General features: G+C 35.5%; 1 protein-coding gene across 1 annotated transcript in view, besides 2 other annotated features; it reads left to right on the forward strand.

Moving 5' to 3' along the window:
- Positions 1-19437, forward strand: part of INTU (inturned planar cell polarity protein) — a 93781-nt gene that overhangs the window by 59147 nt on the left and 15197 nt on the right. Inside the window, exons 9-14 of the mRNA NM_015693.4 lie at positions 7907-7960; positions 12125-12187; positions 13488-13709; positions 14384-14866; positions 16468-16565; positions 18810-18999. Coding sequence (NP_056508.2) covers positions 7907-7960; positions 12125-12187; positions 13488-13709; positions 14384-14866; positions 16468-16565; positions 18810-18999 — 1110 coding nt within the window. The remainder of the gene's footprint in view (positions 1-7906; positions 7961-12124; positions 12188-13487; positions 13710-14383; positions 14867-16467; positions 16566-18809; positions 19000-19437) is intronic.
- Positions 16204-17403: an enhancer, noted in NCBI's record as "P300/CBP strongly-dependent group 1 enhancer chr4:128629462-128630661 (GRCh37/hg19 assembly coordinates)". NCBI's record gives its function as "activates an origin of replication core promoter dependent on BRD2, BRD4, P300/CBP, MED14 and CDK7 cofactors, with strong dependence on P300/CBP, by STARR-seq in HCT116 cells {active_cell/tissue: HCT116}" and the evidence as "EXISTENCE:reporter gene assay evidence [ECO:0000049][PMID:35650434]".
- Positions 16851-17145: a silencer, noted in NCBI's record as "tiled region #1790; K562 Repressive non-DNase unmatched - State 23:Low". NCBI's record gives its function as "represses a minimal TATA promoter and a strong SV40 promoter by Sharpr-MPRA in K562 cells {active_cell/tissue: K562}" and the evidence as "EXISTENCE:reporter gene assay evidence [ECO:0000049][PMID:27701403]".

A 19437-nucleotide genomic window follows, 5' to 3' on the forward strand; every position in this document is an offset into this window, starting at 1 on the left:
CTGAGTAGATACCTACTAGTGGGATTGCTGTATCAATCAGTAGATCTACTTTTAGTTAAGGAATCTCCACAATGTTTTCCATAGTGGTTGTACTAGTTTACATTCCCACCAACAGTATAAAAGTGTTCCCTTTTTGCCCCATCCACACCAACATCTATTTTTTTTTATTATGGCCATTGTTGCAGGAGTGAGGTGGTATTGCATTGTGGTTTTGATTTGCATTTCTCTGATCATTAGTGATGTTGATCATTTTTGCATATGCTGGTTAGCCAGTTGTATATCTTCTTTTCAGAATTGTCCGTTCATCTCCTTAGCCCACTTTTTGATGGGATTGTTTGTTTTTTTCTTGCTGATTTGTTTGAGTTCCTTGTAGATTCTGGATATTAGTCCTTTGTCAGATGTATAGATTGTGAAGATTTTCTCCCACTCTGTGGGGTGTTAACTCTGATGATTATTTATTTTGCTATGCAGAAACTTTAGTTTAATTAAGTCCCATCTATTTATCTTTGTTTTTGTTGCATTTGCTTTTGGGTTCTTGGTCATGAAGTCTTTGCCTAAGCCAATGTCTAGAAGGGTTTTTCCAATGTTATCTTCTAGAATCTTTTTGGTTTCACATCTTAGATTTAAGTCTTTGATCCATCTTGAGTTGATTTTTGTATAAGGCTGAGAGATCAGGATCCAGTTTCATTCTTCCACCTGTGGCTTGCCAACCACCCCAGCACCATTTGTTGAATAGGATGTCCTTTCCCCACTTTATGTTTTTGTTTACTTTGTCAAAGATTAGTTGGCTCTAAGTATTTGGCTTTATTTCTGGGTTCTCTATTTTGTTCCATTGTTCTATGTGCCTAATTTTTATACCATGCCATTTTGGTGACTGTGGCTTTATATTAGAGTTTGAAGGTGGGTAATGAGATGCCTCCAGATTTTTTTTGCTTAGCAATGCTTTGGCTATGAGGGCTCTTTTTTGGTTCCAAATATTAATTTTAGGATTGGTTTTTCTAGTTATGTGAAGAATGATGGTGGTATTTTGATGGGAATTGCACTGAATTTGTAGATTGCTTTTGGCAGTATGGCCATTTTCACAATATTGATTCTACCCATCCATGGGCATGGGATGTGTTTCCATTTGTTGGTATTGTCTATGATTTCTTTCATCAGTGTTTTGTAGTTTTCTTTGTAGAGGTCTTTCACCTCCTTGCTTCAGTATATTCCTAAGTATTTTTTTGCAGCTATTGTGAAAGGGGTTGAGTTCTTGATTTGATTCTCAGTTGGTAACTTTTGGTGTACAGCAGAGCTACTGATTTGTGTACATTAATTTTGTATCCTGAAACTTTGCTGAATTCATTTAGCAGATCTAGATGCTTTTTGGATGAGTCTTTAGGGTTTTCTAGGTATATAGTCATATCATTAGCAAACAGTGACAGTTTGACTTCTTCTTTACTTATTTGGATGCCCTTTATTTTTTTATCTTGTCTGATTTCTCTGGCTAGGACTTTGAGTACTGTGTTGAATAGAAGTGGTGAAAGTGGGCATCCTTGTCTTGTTCCAGTTCTCAGGAGGAATGCTTTCAACTTTTCCCCATTCAGTATAATATTGGCTGTAGGTTTGTCATAGGTGGCTTTTATAACCTTAAGGTATGTCCCTTGTATGCTGATTTTGCTGAGGGTTTTAATCATATAAGGATGCCGGATTTTGTCAAATGCTTTTTCTGTGTCTATTGAGATGATCATGTGATTTTTGTTTTAAGTTCTGTTTATGTAGTGTATCATTTATTGACTTATGTATGTTAAACCATCCCTGCATTCCTGGTATGAAACCCACTTGATCATGGTGGATTATCTTTTTGATATGCTATTGGATTTGGTTCACTAGTATTTTGTTGAGGATTTTTGCCCCTATGTTCATCAGGGATATCAGTCTGTAGTTTTCTCTTTCTGTTATGTCCCTCCCTGGTTTGGGTGTTAGGGTGATACTGGCTTCATACAATGGTTTAGGAAGGATCCCTCTTTTTCTGTCTTTCAGAATAGTGTCAATAGGTTTGGTACCAATTCTTTTTTGAATGTCTGATAGAATTTATCTGTGAGTCTGTCTGGTCCTGGACTTTTTTTGTTGGCAGTTTTTCCATAACCATTTCAATCTCGCTACTTGTTATTTGTCTGTTCAGAGATCCTATATCTTCCTTGTTTCATCTAGGATGGTTGTATATTTCCAGGAATTTATCCATCTCTTTTAGGTTTTCTAGTTTATGCACATAAAGGTGTCTATAGTAGCCTTCAGTAATCTTTTGTATTGCTGTGTTATCAGTTGTAATATCTCCCATTTCATTTCTAATTGAACTTATTTGGATCTTCTCTCTTTTCTTGGTTAATCTTTCTAATGGTCTATCAATTTTATATATCTTTTCAAAGAACCGGATTAGTTTAATGAAGTCTAGCTTATCAGTTTCATGGATTGTGGTTTTGGTGTTGTCTCTAAAAAGTTAGTGTCATACCCAGTGTCATCTAAATTTTCTCCCATGTTCTAGGAATTTTATAGTTTAGCATTTTACATTTAGATATATGATCCACTTAGAGTTAATTTTTGTGAAGGGTGTATGGTGTGTGTCTAGATTGATATTTTTTATATGGGTGCCCAGTTGTTCTAGCACCATTTGTTGAAAAGACCATCTTTGCTCTTTACATTGTATTTGTTCCTTTGTCAAAGATCAGTTGACAGTATTTATGTGAGTATATTTGTGGACTCTCTGTTCCATTGACATATTTGTCTGTTCTTTCACCAATAATACAATGTCTTGATTACTGTAGGTTTATATTAAGTCTTAAAGTAGGATAGTATCAGTCCCCAGACTTTGTTCTCCTCATTCAACATTGTACTGGCTGTTCTTGGTCTTTTGCTTCTCCATATAAACTTTAGAATACCTTGTTGGAATTTTGATTGGGATTGCATTGAATATATAGATCAAGTTATGAAGAACTGACATCTTGACAATATTGAGTCTTCCTATCCATGAACATGGAATATCTCTCCATTTGTTTAGTTCTCCTTTGATTTCATTTATCAGAGTATGGTAGTTTTCCTCATACAGATATTGTATATACTTTGTTAAATTTATAACTAAGTATATTTTATTTTGGGGAGTGCTAAGGTACATGGTATTGTGTTTTTAATTTCAAATTCCACTTATTCATCGCTGGTATATAGGAAAGCAATTGACTTCTATGCTTGGGTGCAGTGGCTTATGCCTGTAATCCCAGCGCTTTGGGAGGCTGAGATGGGTGGATCACTTGAGGTCAGGAGTTCAAAACCAGCCTGGCCAACATTGTGAAACCCTACCTGTACCAAAAAATGCAAAATTAAGCCGGGTGTGGTGGCACATGTCTATAGTGTCAGCTACTCAGGAGGCTGAGGTGGGAGAATCACTTGAATCTGGGAGGCGGAGGCTCCTTATATACTGATGCAGCATACAGGGTTAATATAGAAAATTGTAATATATAAGATTGTGTCAATTCTTTCAGATTTTCTGTGTAAACAATCATGTCATCTATGAACAAAGACAGTTTATTTCTTCCTTCCCAATCACGTATTTCATGTTCTTGCCTTATTGCATTAGCTAGGCCTCCCACTGTGATGTTGAAAAGGAGTGGTGGTAGGGGACATCCTTGCCCCTTTCTGATCTTAGGAAATATCTCATTTCTCACCATTAAGTATGAAGTTAGCTGTAGGTTTTTTGTAGATATTCTTTATCAAGATAAAGAAGTTTCCCTCTATTCCTAGTATACTAAGAGTTTTTATCATGAAGGGGTATTGGATTTTATCAAATGCTTTTTCTGCATATATTGATAGAATCATGTGATTTTTTTAAAGCCCATTGATCTGATGGATTACATTAACTGGTTTTTGAATGTCAAACCTGCCTTGCATACCTGGGATAAATCTCCCTTGGCTGTGGTGTATATTTCTTTTTAGACATTGTTGGATTCCCTCTGCTAATATTTTATTGGAGGTTTTTGAATGTATGTTCTTGAAAGATACTGGCCTGTCATTTTTTTTGTTTTTTTCTTATAATGTCTTTGTCTGGTTTTAGTATTAGGGTAATGCTGACCTCATAGAATGAGTTAGGAAGTATTCCCTCTGTTTCTGTCTTCTGAAAGAAATTAGAGAGAATTGGTATAATTTCTTACTTAAATGTTTGGTAGAATTCACCAGTCTACCCATCTGGGCCTGGTGCATTCTGCTTTTGCAAGTTGATTAATTATTGATTCAATTTCTTTAATAAGTATAGACCAATTTATAGTATCTGTTTCTTCTTGTATCTTTCAAGGAATTTGTCCATTCCATCTAGGTTATCAAATTTGTGAGCATGGGGTTGTTTACAGTATTCTTCTCCTATCCTTTTAATGTCCATGGACCCTGTACTAATGCCCCCCCCCTTTCATTTCTGGTATTAGTAATTTGTGTCCTCTCTATTTTTATCTTAGTTAGGCTAGAAGCTTATACGTTTTATTGATTTTTTTCAAGGAAACAGCTTTTGGTTTCATCGATTTTTCTCTACGGCTTTCCTATTTTCAGTGTCGTTGATTTCTCCTCTAATTTTTATTATTTCTTTTCTTCTGCTTATTTTAGATTTAATTTGCTTTTTGTTCTAGTTTCTTAAAATAGAAACTTGGATTATTGATTTTAGATATTTCTTCTTTTTTAATATATGCATTTAATGCTATAAATTTCCCCCAAGCACCACTTTTGCTGCACCATATAAGTTTTGATAAGTTGTGATTTCATTTTTTTAGTTCAAAATATTTTAAGACCTTCACTTTATACTGAAACATTCTGAGACATGAGAATAAATTATTAAACCTCACTGTTTTAGACCAATAAAGCCCTATCCGTTTAAATTGCCAATTACTTCGTTTAAGGCAGTATAGCACAGCAGTTTAATAGTCAAGATTCTCTACTCAGTGTATTTTAAAATTTCAGCTTGAACAGTAGTTACGTGAACTTAATCAAGGTCTTTTCCTTAATGGCTTCATTGAGATATTTCACATATCATAGAATTTTCCCATTTAAAATGTGCAATCCAACATTTTTTAGTCTGTTCACAGAGCTGCCTAACCATCGCCGCAATCAATTTTAGAACATTTCACCATCTAATAAAGAAATTCCGTGACCATTCGTAGTTATTATTTACTTCTCTCTTTCCTCTCCCAATTTCTTCTTCTCCCTACCCCTCCATCCCCAGGCAATCATTTGCATAGTTTTCATTTCTGTAAGCTTACCTGTTCTAAATATTTTTTTAAATTTGACTCCTCTTATCTGTGATTGTATATCCTTTGACCAACATTTCCTCATTTACCCTCTCCCCTAACTACCCAAGCCTTTGGTAATCACCATTCCCATTCTACTCTCTCCTTCTGTGATATCAGCTTTTTTAGGTTCCACATATGAGTGAGATCATGTGGTAGTTGTCTTTCTGTGCCTGGCTTATTTCATTTAACATAATGCCCTCTAGGTTCATCTGTGTTGTCATAAATAACAGGATTTTGTTCTTTTTATGGCTAAATAGTATTCCATTATGTATATATGGCACATTTTCTTTATCCATTCATCTGTTGATGAACACTTAGGTTGATTCCATTTCTCTTGAGATTTCTCATTGTATTAAAAAGTAGGATTTATTGAGTATGTATCTTCTAATGGAAAATATTAAGGAATTTAATGCCTTAAGAAATCTAGTTAAAGGCCAGGCATGGTGGCTTATGCCTGTAATCCAAGCACTTTGGTAGGCTGAGGTGGACAGATCATCTGAGGTCGGGAGTTCAAGACCAGCCTGACCAACATGGAGAAACCCCGTCTCTACTAAAAATACAAAATAAGCTGGGTGTGATGGTGCATGCCTGTAATCCCAGCTATTTGGGAAGCTGAGGCAGGAGAATCACTTGAACCTGGGAGGCGGAGGTTGCGGTGAGCTGAGTTCATGCCATTTCACTCCAGCCTAGGCAACCAGAGTGAAACTATGTCCACAAAAGAAATCTAGTTAAAAACGTGTGTGAGGCCGGCCGCAGTGGCTCACACCTGTAATCCCAGCACTTTGGGAGTACACACCTGTAATCCCAGCACTTTGGGAGGCCGAGGTGGGAGGATCACAAGGTCAGGAGTTCGAGACCATCCTGGCTAACACGGTGAAACCCCATCTCTACTAAAAATACAAAAAATTAGGCAGGCGTGGTGGCGGGCGCCTGTAGTCCCAGCTACTCGGGAGGCAGAGGCAGGAGAATGGCATGAACCTAGGAGGCAGAGCTTGCCATGAGCCAAGATTGTGCCACTGGCACTCCAGCCTGAGCAACAGAGGGACACTCTGTCTCAAAAAAAAAAAAAAAGTCGTGTGTGAGGTAACATGCCTGGCAATTTTAGGTGGAAATAGTTATTTTTGCTTGTTTATTTTTAAAAACAAACTAAATAGTTATTTTTAACTTGGAAAAAACCTATTTGTTCCAGGTTTAGTATATAATGAGGTCTTACTTTAGTTTTTCTTCCCAGATATTTGAGAATTTTCCTCATTTTGATATTCTTTTTTCAATCATATTTTCCTAGGGTACAGTGAAATAATTAAGAGAAAAGATATTTGTATGTTTTCGTTTAAGGAATATAAACAAACATATATATTAATCTTGTATACTAATTAGCCTGTAGAGTTTAGTAGCAGGAATAGCAACTCATTGAACAGTTTCTGAGATCAAATACCACAAATTGGTAATTTTTTGTCCTGTGGTTTTTCACAAGACAGACTAATAGCCACAAAAAAAGGGAACCTGAAGTATTTGCTAGATGCAGAAAAATGTAGGTCACAAATGAGTAATAACTCATACTGTGTGAAAAGCATTGAAAGGCATGACTAATATTTCAAAAGCTTTTGTCATCTCAGTAAGACACAGTTAGTGTGTGAAACAGTCCTGCAGAGAGTGCCTTGGCCTTTAAAGAAAAAAAAAAGATTCTCTGGGAGGCGGATTGCAGTGAGCTGAGATTGCGCCACTGCACTCCAGCCTGGGCGACAAAGCGAGATTCCATCTCAAAAAAAAGGGATTCTTATTCACAAATAGCATGTATGCCACACAATTCAATTGCCGATAGTTTTCATTTGTATATATATTTGTATTACAGATTAAACTTCAGATTAAATTTATTCTGTTTTTAAATTTGGAATGCTTCAAAGAAGAACAAAGGTGATACATGAAAGAGTTCAGGCAATTTCCATAGAAACAAAACCCAAATCCTAAGTAAGAGATTTTTTTTTCTAATAACTCTGTGGGGTAGTTGAACTGTGCCAGATTCCAGAGGAACACTTGCCTTCGTGTTTTAATCTAGGAATAAAGATTGACAACCCTTGAATGCAAAACGTTGTGTCCAGGAGAAAGACAGGGAAGAATGTTGATATTTTTCAAGAATCCAACTATTGAGTAATATACAAGAAATGGAGAATCGAGAACAACTCAAAATAAGTTGGCTACTTTAAGACTGATTTTCATTTTCTTCTATGAAATCAAAAGGGTTAAATTAATTTCTAACTTAAAACTGGAAAGCAACTTTTGAAGCTCATAAATTTACTATGCATTGAATACATGTGAAGACCATTTTGCAGTTATTGAGATTTAGTTGAAATATGGTATGTTAAATGAGTAAGTTGTTTTATATTTGCAAAGCTTAAAAACAATATGTTAAATAAGTAAACTGTTTTACAGTGGCAAAGCTTAAAAACAATATGTTCCATTTTGAGACATTTCCTAAGTAACACAAAAGAGAAAGATACTCAATTTTTCAAGTAGTAATTAAGCACTTTTTATATGGCCATTACTAAAAAAGTAACTAATATGAGTCAAATGTTTATGTTACTCTTTTTTTTTTTTTAACATAGATGGAATTAGACATGGCATTAAGTGACTTGGAGGCTGCAGATTTTGCAGAACTGGTAAGGGAAGGAGTGGATTTTATAAAAGGCTCAATGTTGAATTATTTTGTATAACAGTCATTATTCTAAATATTTACCAAGTGGATATATAATAATCTTGAAATACACATTAGGCCTCTGTTTTGACAGTGACAAAATCTATTTTGCTTGCCTTAGGATTTTCTACTGAGTTTAAACAGTTGTTACATAATGTATATTATGGGATTAAAAATGATTAATTACACTGGTGTCACTGAGAACTAAGCTTTTGAGGAAAATAAATATAGATGTAATACTGATTAAGTTAAATAAGAACCCTGTAGAGCTGTACTTAAATTGGAAGTGTCAATATCGTTTTTAATCTTTTAATTATTGTATTTCCTAGCTATGGCCAATGAAAAGGCCTAGCAATAGTGACCATCGCAGTAGCGATAAGTACCACTAATACCCAGACCATGGTGTATAAATAACATTTCTCACCAAAAGGAACCAGGACTCCTCAAGAATTGGCTCATTCAAAATTGGGGCTGAAAATGCACAAGATAAGTCTGAGAACATCTTGTCATATCAGAAATTCAGAAAGCTTTCCAAAAATTAATAGGGTTATAGTAGAGCTCAAACTGTCATGAGACAACTTGAAGAGGCTCCCTGTTGAACATCTATAAGGAAATAACTACAACAGATTGAAACACATCAGATATGTATAAGCTCATGAGTGCATAATGATACTAAAAAAAAAAAAAAGGAAACTTACTAGTCAACTTTGGAGAATATGAGGGCACTAACTTGTTTTTGTGAAAACTGTTAAATGAAGAAAAATCAGACATTTATCCTGCCTTTCTTGTCTAAACCATATGTCAAGGTTACCAAACAGAGGTGAAGGAGAGCTTCTTTTTATGAAAGTAGTCTAACTGAAATGTCAAGAAAGACTGACAGAATTGGAATATCACCATTTTGCAGTCCCTCAATGAATTAATGGATCTAGGCAATGGTCATCAATAGCTATTAATATCACAAACAGAAAAACAGCAGATAATATGTTGTTCCTGATGGAAGCACACAGAACACCTATAAAATATGCTTGATGAAGCCTCAAGATTGAACTACCAACTTATAGGAAATACCACTGAAAAGGAGGCATGTTAAGTTACTCCATTTTTGGAAGAGGGGTTGCAGTCAGCAAAATCCAGACTGGCAAATACTGCAGGACACTTTCTTCTCCAAATAAATTAGAAAAGGCTGGCGTGAGGTGGGGGAGAAGGGAGAGAAGTTGAGAGAGATCTCAGTTACAAGAGACTGAATATTATCAACCAAGTGTATGTATGTCCTTTCTTAGATCCTAATTCAAACAAACTTTTAAAAACCTCTATGAGACAACGAATCTCATAGATGAGGCTGAATCTATTCATGAGTCTCATACATTCAAGGAAAGTAAACACTAATGACTGGGTATTAGATGAAAATAATTCTTTATATTGTGATAATGGTATGATTATATGTATTTTAAGATTCCTTCTGTTTTATACATACATTCTGAAGTGTTTACAGATGAAATTATATAATATCTGGGATTGGTTTTGAAATAATTCAGCAGGAGGAAGGGAAGATGATGATACAGATGAAACAAGATAAGCCATGGACTGGTCATAGTTAAACCTGGGTGATGATGGCTATACAGGAACTAATTATACAATTCCCTTTTTGTATATGCTAAAATTCTCAGTAATAAAAGTTCTTTTACAAAGTAAATGGGAAGTAAGGAGGTAAAAGCCATGAGGTGTGGATTATTCTCAAGAAGATCGCCAGTGAAAGTGGGAGGAGAATGTTAGCTTGAAAGGGTAACTGAGTCTTAACAAACACCCTAAACAAATGGAAGGGTGTTTTGTCTGTAAAAATAATAGAAATTTAGGGATGGTAAACTCTTATGGCTCATAATTTTTTGAGTAATGGAAAATGTTTAGATGGATATTAACTATTAGGAGCAGTTCAGATCTAAAGTATTAAAATATCTGGTTTTTGGAACTTACATCCAAAATGTTTAATTTAAAAATCTAATTCCTGCCTTTATAGAACACTATTTTAATGAGCAGTGGAGTTAACAATATTTTCTATGGTTAAAAAATAATCTATTTTGATTCCTTAGATACAGTAAAAAAAAAAGAAAGAAAACCATAATTCATAAAAGAAAAAATGGATAAATTGAGAATGTAAAATGGTACAACTACTTTGGAAGACAGTTTGGCAATTTCTTAATAACCTAAACATATACCTACCATGTAATTCAACCAGTCTGTTCCTATCTTTTTAAACCAAGAGAACTGAAAGCATATGTAATACAAAGACCTGTATACAAAGCAACTTTATTTGTAATAGCCAAAAAGTGGAAACAACTCAAATAACTTAACTGTCCATCAGCAGGTGTGAATACCAAAACAAATTCTGGTATATCCAGGAATGGACTACTACTCAGAAAAAAAGTTGGTGTAGGGAGGTGTTGAGGGAACTGTTCTACATCTCAATTTTGGTGGCACTTACATAGCTATATGCATTTGTCAAAACTCACAGAACACTTCACATTGAATTTTGCCTTTAAAAAAATATGAAAATAAGGATCTATTCTACACTTTTTGGTGAAATTAGATTAAAGATTTAATCTTATATCCTAATGCTGTGTTTTCCTTAGTTTTTAAAAAATATTATTAAGGTATAATTTATGTTCAGTAAATTCTTCTGTCCCCTTTGGAGTCGACCCCTCTCCATACCCCCAACCTCTGGCAATCACTGATCTGTGTTCTGTCCCCATGATTTTGCCTTTTCCAGGATGTAATATAAAGTGAATCATCCTGCTCAGCCTGGCCCTAATGCTGCTCTGGTTGCTCAGCATACCTCCTTTTACCTTCTCATACCTGGGCATCCCTGCCCTGTTCAGCCCCACAGTTCCCAACTATTTGGTTCCTGCTCCATGGTCAGGCCTCTGACAACCCCTTTGAATAAACCAGACACTCCACATGTGTCTTGAGAATTTAAATAAATAAATAATCATACAGTAGGTAATTTTTGTGTCTGGCTTTAACTTAGCATAAATGGATTTAAGATTCATTCCTGCTATTGTACAGGCAGTTCAGTCCTTAATATTGCTGAATAGTAGTATTCCATCATATGCATGTATCACAATTTGTTTATCCATTCCCCAATTGAGGAATGGCTGGGTTATTTCCAGTTTTTAGTTTTCTTTAGGTTTCATTGGGTTTTTTAAAAAGAAAAAAAACTTATAAAAGTAATAGCTGTGTACGGGGTGAAGCTCCAAGCATGGTTATTAAAAGCAAATACCTTCGCTTATCCCTTTCTCTCACTTCCATCCCCAGGTGTAACTGCTCTTATGGATTGGAATGTATCCTTCCAGACCTTTTTCCATATACATACATTCCCACACACAAACCAACACACATGTATATAGTTGGTGGGGATGCTATTTTTAACAAAAATCAGATGATAACATATATTTTGTTCTGCAGCTTGCCTTCTTTGCTGAGCAGTGTATCCTAAAACCTTTTATGCCTGCTCATATAGATCAATCATATTTTTTTAACATATGTGTGATATTCTGTGGTATATCTAGTTTTGCTGGCCATTCCTCCATTGTTGAATTTCATGTTATCTCTAATTTTTCCATATTACAAATAATCCAACTGTTAACTTTTTATATAAAAATCATGATTCCACTGCTTGAGTATTCCTGTAGATTTCTAGAAGTAGAATTACTCAGAGGGTATATATACTTAATTTTTTTTACATACCACTCAGTTGCTTGCAAATAGGTTGCATCAATTAGTGCTTTCAAAAATAGCTTATGGTAATATTGGATACTGTAGATGATGTAGAGTAAAAGTTTTTTGTCCTAAAAAGATGTGTTGTAAGAAATCCCTCATAGAGTGACAGATTTTATGTTCTTAATGTCTCTAATCAAACATCTTAAAAGAATGAAACATAAGGTTGTTCTCAGTGAAGTAAACGTATGCATATTGTATTTCATCCTAATATTCTGGTATATTGATTTCTAAAGATGGCACTATGAAAAGTTTAGTTACTAAAGAATATAATTTTCATTTTAACTATTATAGCTTAATTGGAATTTTTATCACAAAAAAATAAAAATATAAAATCCACTATGAATTTTTCCCCCAGTCCGAGGATTACTATGACATGAGGCGGCTGTATACAATTTTGGGGTCTTCTCTATTTTACAAGGTAAGTTGAAGCTTGAAGTCTAAATGTCCAGCTGCTGTATAAAGAGAACTAAATTTTCAAAACTTTTACAAACATGAAAAATACATTTATCTCTTTTCTTTCAAATGTAGGTACCATAAGATTAAGAGCTTTCTCATTTTAGAGACAGGGTCTTGCTCTGCCACCTAGGCTGGAGTACGGGGTACAATCATAGCTCACTGCAACCTCCAATTTCTGGGCTTAAGCAATTCCCAAGCTCAAACAATCCTCCTGCTTTGGCCTCCCAAAGTACTGGGATTACAGGCGTGAGCCACCATGCCTGACCAGATTAAGACCTTAAAACAAGATTTGCATCTACATACTTGTAAATATAATAAATATTTATGGTTTCATTGCATTCTAAAGCATGTATAAAGTATTTACAAATGTGCACAGGAGAAGCAATACTCAAAGAACCAAGTTTGTAAGAGAGAAGACTAATATTTTTCTGGATTTCCTTTTGAAAGAGTGTATTTTTTATCCTGTGTTGAAAAGTCAGCTGGGCATGGTGGCTCACACCTGTAATCCCATCACTTTGGGGGGCCGAGGCAGGCAGAACACCAGAGGTCAGGAGTTCGAGATCAGCCTGTCTAACATGGTGAAACCCCATCTCTACTAAAAATACAAAAAAAAATTATCTGGGTATGGTGGTGTGTGCCTGTAATCCCAGCTACTCAGGAGGCTGAGGCAGGAGAATGGTGTGAACCCGGGAAGCAGAAGCTGCAGTGAGCTGAGTTCGTGCCACTGCACTCCAGCCTGGGTGACAGAGACTCTGTCTCAAAAAAAAAAAAATAGTAACCTACATCTTTTAAATAAATCTTATATAACATTTAGTTCATGTCCATGTAAAGCAAAGCATCAAATGAATTTAAGTACTTTTATTTTTAAAAAAGGATTTTTAAACACAATATAAAACACATCTAACAAAGAAGCAATAGGGAAGGGTGCACAGTGAAAAGTCTCTGTCATGACCCCTGCTTCTTGACTTTCCATTCTCAGAATTCAGTTATTTTCTAATTTTGTCAAATACTGAAGCTATGCTGTGCAGAAGGGATCTTGCTTTGTGCTGAAGTCTACCTGTCGGTACACCTTAAGTTATCATTTGAGCTCTACTTTGACCTCAAGAAAAGAAACATTTACTTTTACTATATCTTCATTTACCCCATTTGAAACTAGAATATTCTAAACCAACGGAAGAAGTGTCTATGAAACTCTTAGAAATATTATGGGACTATTGCTTTATATCACTGGTAGACTTTTGCTCTTTGTGGTTAAATTCAAGGGTTATTTGATATGCAGTCATTTGCCCAAGGATGATCTTATTGATATTGCCGTATACTGTCGCCACTATTGCCTGCTGCCTTTAGCAGCAAAACAAAGAATTGGTCAGTTGATCATATGGAGAGAAGTGTTTCCTCAGCATCACCTCCGACCTTTGGCAGACTCAAGCACTGAAGTCTTTCCGGAACCTGAAGGAAGATATTTTTTGCTAGTTGTTGGCTTGGTAAGTTTACCTCAGCTTCTTTCTTAGGATTTTTCTTCTTTTCTTTTATTTTTTTCTTTTCGGCAGGGGTTGAGGGATGCAGCGGTAGGTAGGTATCTATTGACTGTCTAAATAAATACACAAACATGCTCATGTAAAATTATTAGTATGTCTAATATCAGTATTCAAGGAAATGTTACATGTCCCCTTATTCCTTTTCTTTTGCATCCATTTAATACTCATGGACAAATATTAATAAAGTCTAAGAAAATATTTTAGCAGGTTTTTAAAGTCTTTTGTTCCCCTTTCTATAGTGGTTTTATCCATTGGCTTGTTTTGGGAGATAGAGGGAGACATGAAAATAATATAGAATCAGAAACAGAATAAATATGCAATTGTAGATGAAAGGACTTCCAGTAACTGAGGCTCTTGACAGCTATCTTAGGGAATTCTGTGTCTCAAAAGAAGTGGTTTGATGGTATATCAAGATAAGGCAATGTAAGATTGTTTTCAACTGGGATCAAGAAGCATTAATAATAACCAAAAAGGAAAGATGACGGAGGAATTTTTAATAATCATCACATGATTATGCCATAGGCCTCTATGTCTTCGATATTTATAAGTTTATACATGCACATTTTATGTAAATATTTTCATGGTAGCTAAACCTACATTTGTAATTTTTTTCCCTATAGAAACATTATATGCTATGTGTACTATTAGAAGCTGGAGGTTGCGCATCCAAAGCTATTGGGAGTCCTGGACCAGACTGTGTATATGTGGATCAAGTCAAAACAACTCTTCACCAGCTGGATGGAGTAGATTCTCGCATAGATGAACGGCTAGCATCTTCTCCAGTCCCCTGTTTGTCTTGTGCTGACTGGTTCCTTACTGGATCACGTGAAAAAACAGATAGCTTGACCACTTCGCCTATTCTCAGTAGGCTACAAGGTACTTCCAAAGTAGCAACTTCTCCAACATGCAGAAGAACGCTTTTTGGTGACTATTCCTTAAAGACACGCAAGCCTAGTCCTTCCTGTAGTAGTGGAGGATCTGACAATGGTTGTGAAGGTGGAGAAGATGATGGCTTTAGCCCCCATACTACACCGGATGCAGTACGGAAGCAAAGAGAATCTCAGGGCTCTGATGGTTTAGAAGAAAGTGGGACCTTGCTTAAGGTGTGTGCTTATTCAAGTGTGTATGTTCTGGGAGCTAAGTTGTCTCTCCAGTCCTTGTTTTATAATTGCAAGACATTTTTTTAGTGGCATACCATTCTTCATTTGACATGGTGGTTATTTCAGTCACTGCTGGCAAACCAATGATTTTGAACCAAAAAGAAAAAGAAATATCAGGCCAGGTGTGGCAGATTGCTAGAGGCCAGGAGTTCAAGACCAGCCTGGCCAATGTGGCAAAACCCAGTCTCTAATAAAATTACAAAAAAATTGCCAGGCACGTTGGTGCACACCTGTGATCCCAGATGCATCGGGAGGCTGAGGCACAAGAATTGCTTAAACTCAGGAGGCAGAGGTTGCAATGAGCCGAGATTGTGCCACTGCATGATTTGTCACTCCAGCCTGGGTGACAGAGTGAGACTCTGTCTCAAAAAAAAAAAAAAAAAAAAAAAAAGAAATATCAAATAATAAGATAAGAACCCCTTGACATTCATATCTGTTTAACAGTACTTAGAAATAGGAAAACTTTAATCTCAATTTCCGTGTTCATCTCTTCCCTATTTGCAATGACAACAGAGAGCATCCAAGCTGTGGGGCCTGTTGGGGGCTGATCTGACTAAATAGCCAATGAAATATTCAGCAAAGAGAATCAGAACCCTAAATGTGTGTATTTGTGTGTCTGTGTGTGTGTGTGTGTATGTCTCTGTGTGTATTATCCTATTTTTATAGATTTTAAAATCTGAACCTTTGTAACACTTAAAGATTTAAAAGTTGACTCTAAAGAGGATGTTCATTTTTCAGATCATTTTTCCTAATTTTTTCCCATGAAAATACCATAAAATATCCAAATGATTATCAAAACATTCACCCTGGGAGGCTTTGTACTTATTCTAGTGATGCTGTCGTCTTTCAAAACATTTTTGAAACTTGTCATTTGGGTGGATGGAGGTGACACCAGATGAGGAGTCTGAGAAGGAGCACAAATAAACTATGAAATGCTAGTAGCATGGCATAAATAACCAGATGCAATCTCCTCATACCAAACAATAGAATACTTTTGGACCCCTAAGTGGGGTGTATTTGGAAGTACTTACATCAGTACCATACCTATTATCACAGTCGATGGAATTGGTAGGAAATAGTCTAAAAAGATTTGGACAGATTAAAGAATTACCAAGCCATGAATAGCTCCTAAGAGAAATTGAGTTAACCTTTAAGATTCAGCCATTCAACAAAGGTTGATTGAATACCTACTAAGTGCCAAGGGCCATACTACACAAAGGAGATACAGAGATGAATAAGACACAGCCCCTGACTTTGAGGAGTGCAGAGTCTAGGGAGGGGAGACAAGTATGCATACATACAAATTTGGTAATGGCTCTGGTAGGAGGTTTTCAGGGAACACCATCATGCCCTCCCAGGACATGACCCTGGGATCCCTGTCAGCCATGGATAAGCCAAGAGGTACAAGTTAGCATCAAAAATATTTAAAGGAAGCATTGCAAATGGTAAGTAGTTCCCTCAGAAGGATGTTTAATTTTTAAATTGTTTCTGCTATATGATTCCATTCTTAGATATAAACTGATCTACTTAACTATATTTTTCAGGTCACTAAAAAGAAGTCTACTCTTCCAAATCCATTTCATTTGGGAAACTTGAAAAAGGACCTTCCAGAAAAAGAATTAGAAATATATAACACAGTGAAGTAAGAAACTTTCTTATTCTTGTTCACTTAAACTCAGGAAGTTTTACAGTGAGAAAGTACAATTTTATAACATGTATTTTACTCAACAAATGTAATTCTGATATATCTTACATATTAAAGGTAATATCTGTGGTATTTCTTTAATATTTCATTACACATTTAGGAAAATGACCATATTAGTATTATGAAAGAGAAAAACACACAAAGTAATATTTCAAAATGTGAAAGTCTCCCTTTATCTCTCCACAGGTAACCTCCCTTTTGTATATTTAATATAATTTTTAAATTAGAGTTTACTATTTTTTAGAGTGTTTGGTGGATGCAGTGGTGTGCTGTCCAGTTACACCTTAGCTCAGGGTATTCCTTTCCAACACTTGAGAATGGTGGCTGCTAATGCCTCACAGCTCCCCTAGCCTTGTCACTCCCCTAGCCGTGTCCTACACGGAAACTTGTTGACTCAGCTAAGGTTACATTCCTCCCTGGGAGGAGCCCATTTCTAATGACTAATAAATAAGTGAGTACAAAGGCTTGGCCCCTTGCCTAAATTGAAGACAACTCTGAAAGGCCAGCCAAGCTTCAGAGTACACAGTGGTATCGGCTGAGACTTGTTGCCGCTGCAGCACAGTTCATCTTCTCCCTCTGCTCAATCCTGCTCAGTCACTACACCCCTACAGCTGTTTTTCCCAAGAGTACTTCCTAATAAGTTTCCTCCCGGCATATCTCACTCTCAGAGTTTGGGTCCCAAGGAACTTGTCCCATAACACTCTCTTTAGAAAATAGGTATAATTTCAAACGTTCATTGAGTAGGGAATTCTGAGGTAAAAGAAACTGAGTGAGGAGAGAATGTTTAGCAACTTAAACTGTCTGTAATTATTATAATATGAAATGTTATATATTCACTTCTTGTGCACTTATGTGGTGACACGCAGGTCTGCCTGTGCCTTGGCAGGTATTTAATTATGACATCATGTGTGGGATCAACTGGTGTAATAAACTCAATTGCCTACTTTTATTTGAACAACTAGACACGTACTAATAGAATTCACACACACACACACACACACACACACACACACAGTACAGAGCTACCACATTCTTAATCACTGAAACACTTTACAGTAAGTTCAAATATATGTGTTACAAAGTTGTTAGAAAATTCTTTTTTTCTCAAGTCAAGACAAAAACAAAGTAACTTGTCTGCATAAAATAATACATTAGAAATCTGATGTGTTAAATTTTAGTATTTAATGCCTCCAAATATGAATGTTTAATTTTTTGATAGTTAAACATGATTTTAAGACAAATAAATTGGAACCAAACCTTTTATGGAACCCAAAAGTACCTTCACAAAACTCTAGTCTTCCATTTAACAAAAACTATTGCTCTGAAATTTTATTAACTCCATATCAGAATTTTAAAAATATGTATGTTGTGTTGGCATTGTCTCTAGTAAAAGGAGACTCTTTTTTCAAGTTCAATGGTTTAAACATAAATTCACATGTGGTGTAAATCATAGGCTCTCCTATTTTAAAAGGTGCCAAAGATGTGTGTTTATTCTCATTATTGACATGCAAAGATGTTTTTATATGATGTAGTTCATTTTAAAAGCATGATATAAAACAGGATGTAATATATTATCCTAACCTTTTATGCACCTATCTTTGTAAAATACAATATATATAATATATTGAAAATAATATATAAAACATTTCATTCAGTAACTAAGTCCTACCCATTCTGCATTCCAGTAGTTCTTGAGGAACATCAGTTTGACTATCATGGTAAAATACTTTAATGCTACTAACTTAAATGTATTTAATTTGTTGGAAGGTATTTTTATATGTGGTCTACCCTAGACTGATATCTTGTTTATGGCTTATAGCTATCTGGGCCAGACACGAGCTGAATTATTTAATACCAACCATGGAAAAAGAGACAGTTAGCCAATTTGGGTTGTTTAGCAAAGGAATGATTAAGTTACTTGCAAATGAATTGAGGTTTACTTATCCTTGCATAACATGTAGTATTTGCCTCCATTAAGGGAATTAATAACCCTAGCTTGTACTTCAGTTACGGATGAAGAGGGAATTAAATGTTTAGCCCAGTTTCCCTTCCCTAATTATACTACTAATATTATATTGTAGATAAAAGCTTATAAGAAGTCTACTAAATTCAAAATGAACCAATATTTTAAAATTTACTAAAATTTCTTTTTTCTTCTCTTTGATTTTTTTTCTTTTTAAGACTGACATCTGGTCCTGAGAACACACTTTTCCACTACGTTGCCTTAGAAACAGTGCAAGGAATCTTTATTACTCCTACCCTTGAAGAGGTGGCACAGCTAAGTGGCTCTATCCACCCTCAGCTAATAAAGAATTTCCATCAGTGTTGTCTTTCCATTCGTGCAGTTTTCCAACAGACATTGGTGGAAGAGGTAGGGCACTGCTATAAATACAGTTTTCTGCCAGTTTAATTTCCAGATCTCTAAGCATTCTGTTATCTAATCAATATGCCCAGCATTGTTTTCATTTCATTAAGTTTTTTTAAATAGTCACTTAATCTAACGTGGGTGCCAAAACAATTATACTCACAGTACTTCAAGGTTTTATTTTATACTGAATCTGATGTCTTGGGTTACTTTTCAGGATATGGTAGACCTGTGTTTTCTACAGCAAAGCAAAATACAGTCGTTTGTAATGTAAATTAACCTTCCATATTTGATATCTGTGACTCAACCATTACTTGAGTAATAATATCTACCAATTGGTTCCTAAAATAACTCTGATAATTCTTTGAGTATTTAGCCAATAGTATAGGGATTTTGGAATATAATGGATTAAGGCAGGGGTCCCCAACCCCCCTGGGCCACATA

The sequence above is a fragment of the Homo sapiens genome, chromosome 4 (genome assembly GCF_000001405.40).
Source record: "Homo sapiens chromosome 4, GRCh38.p14 Primary Assembly".
NCBI lineage: Eukaryota > Metazoa > Chordata > Mammalia > Primates > Hominidae > Homo > Homo sapiens.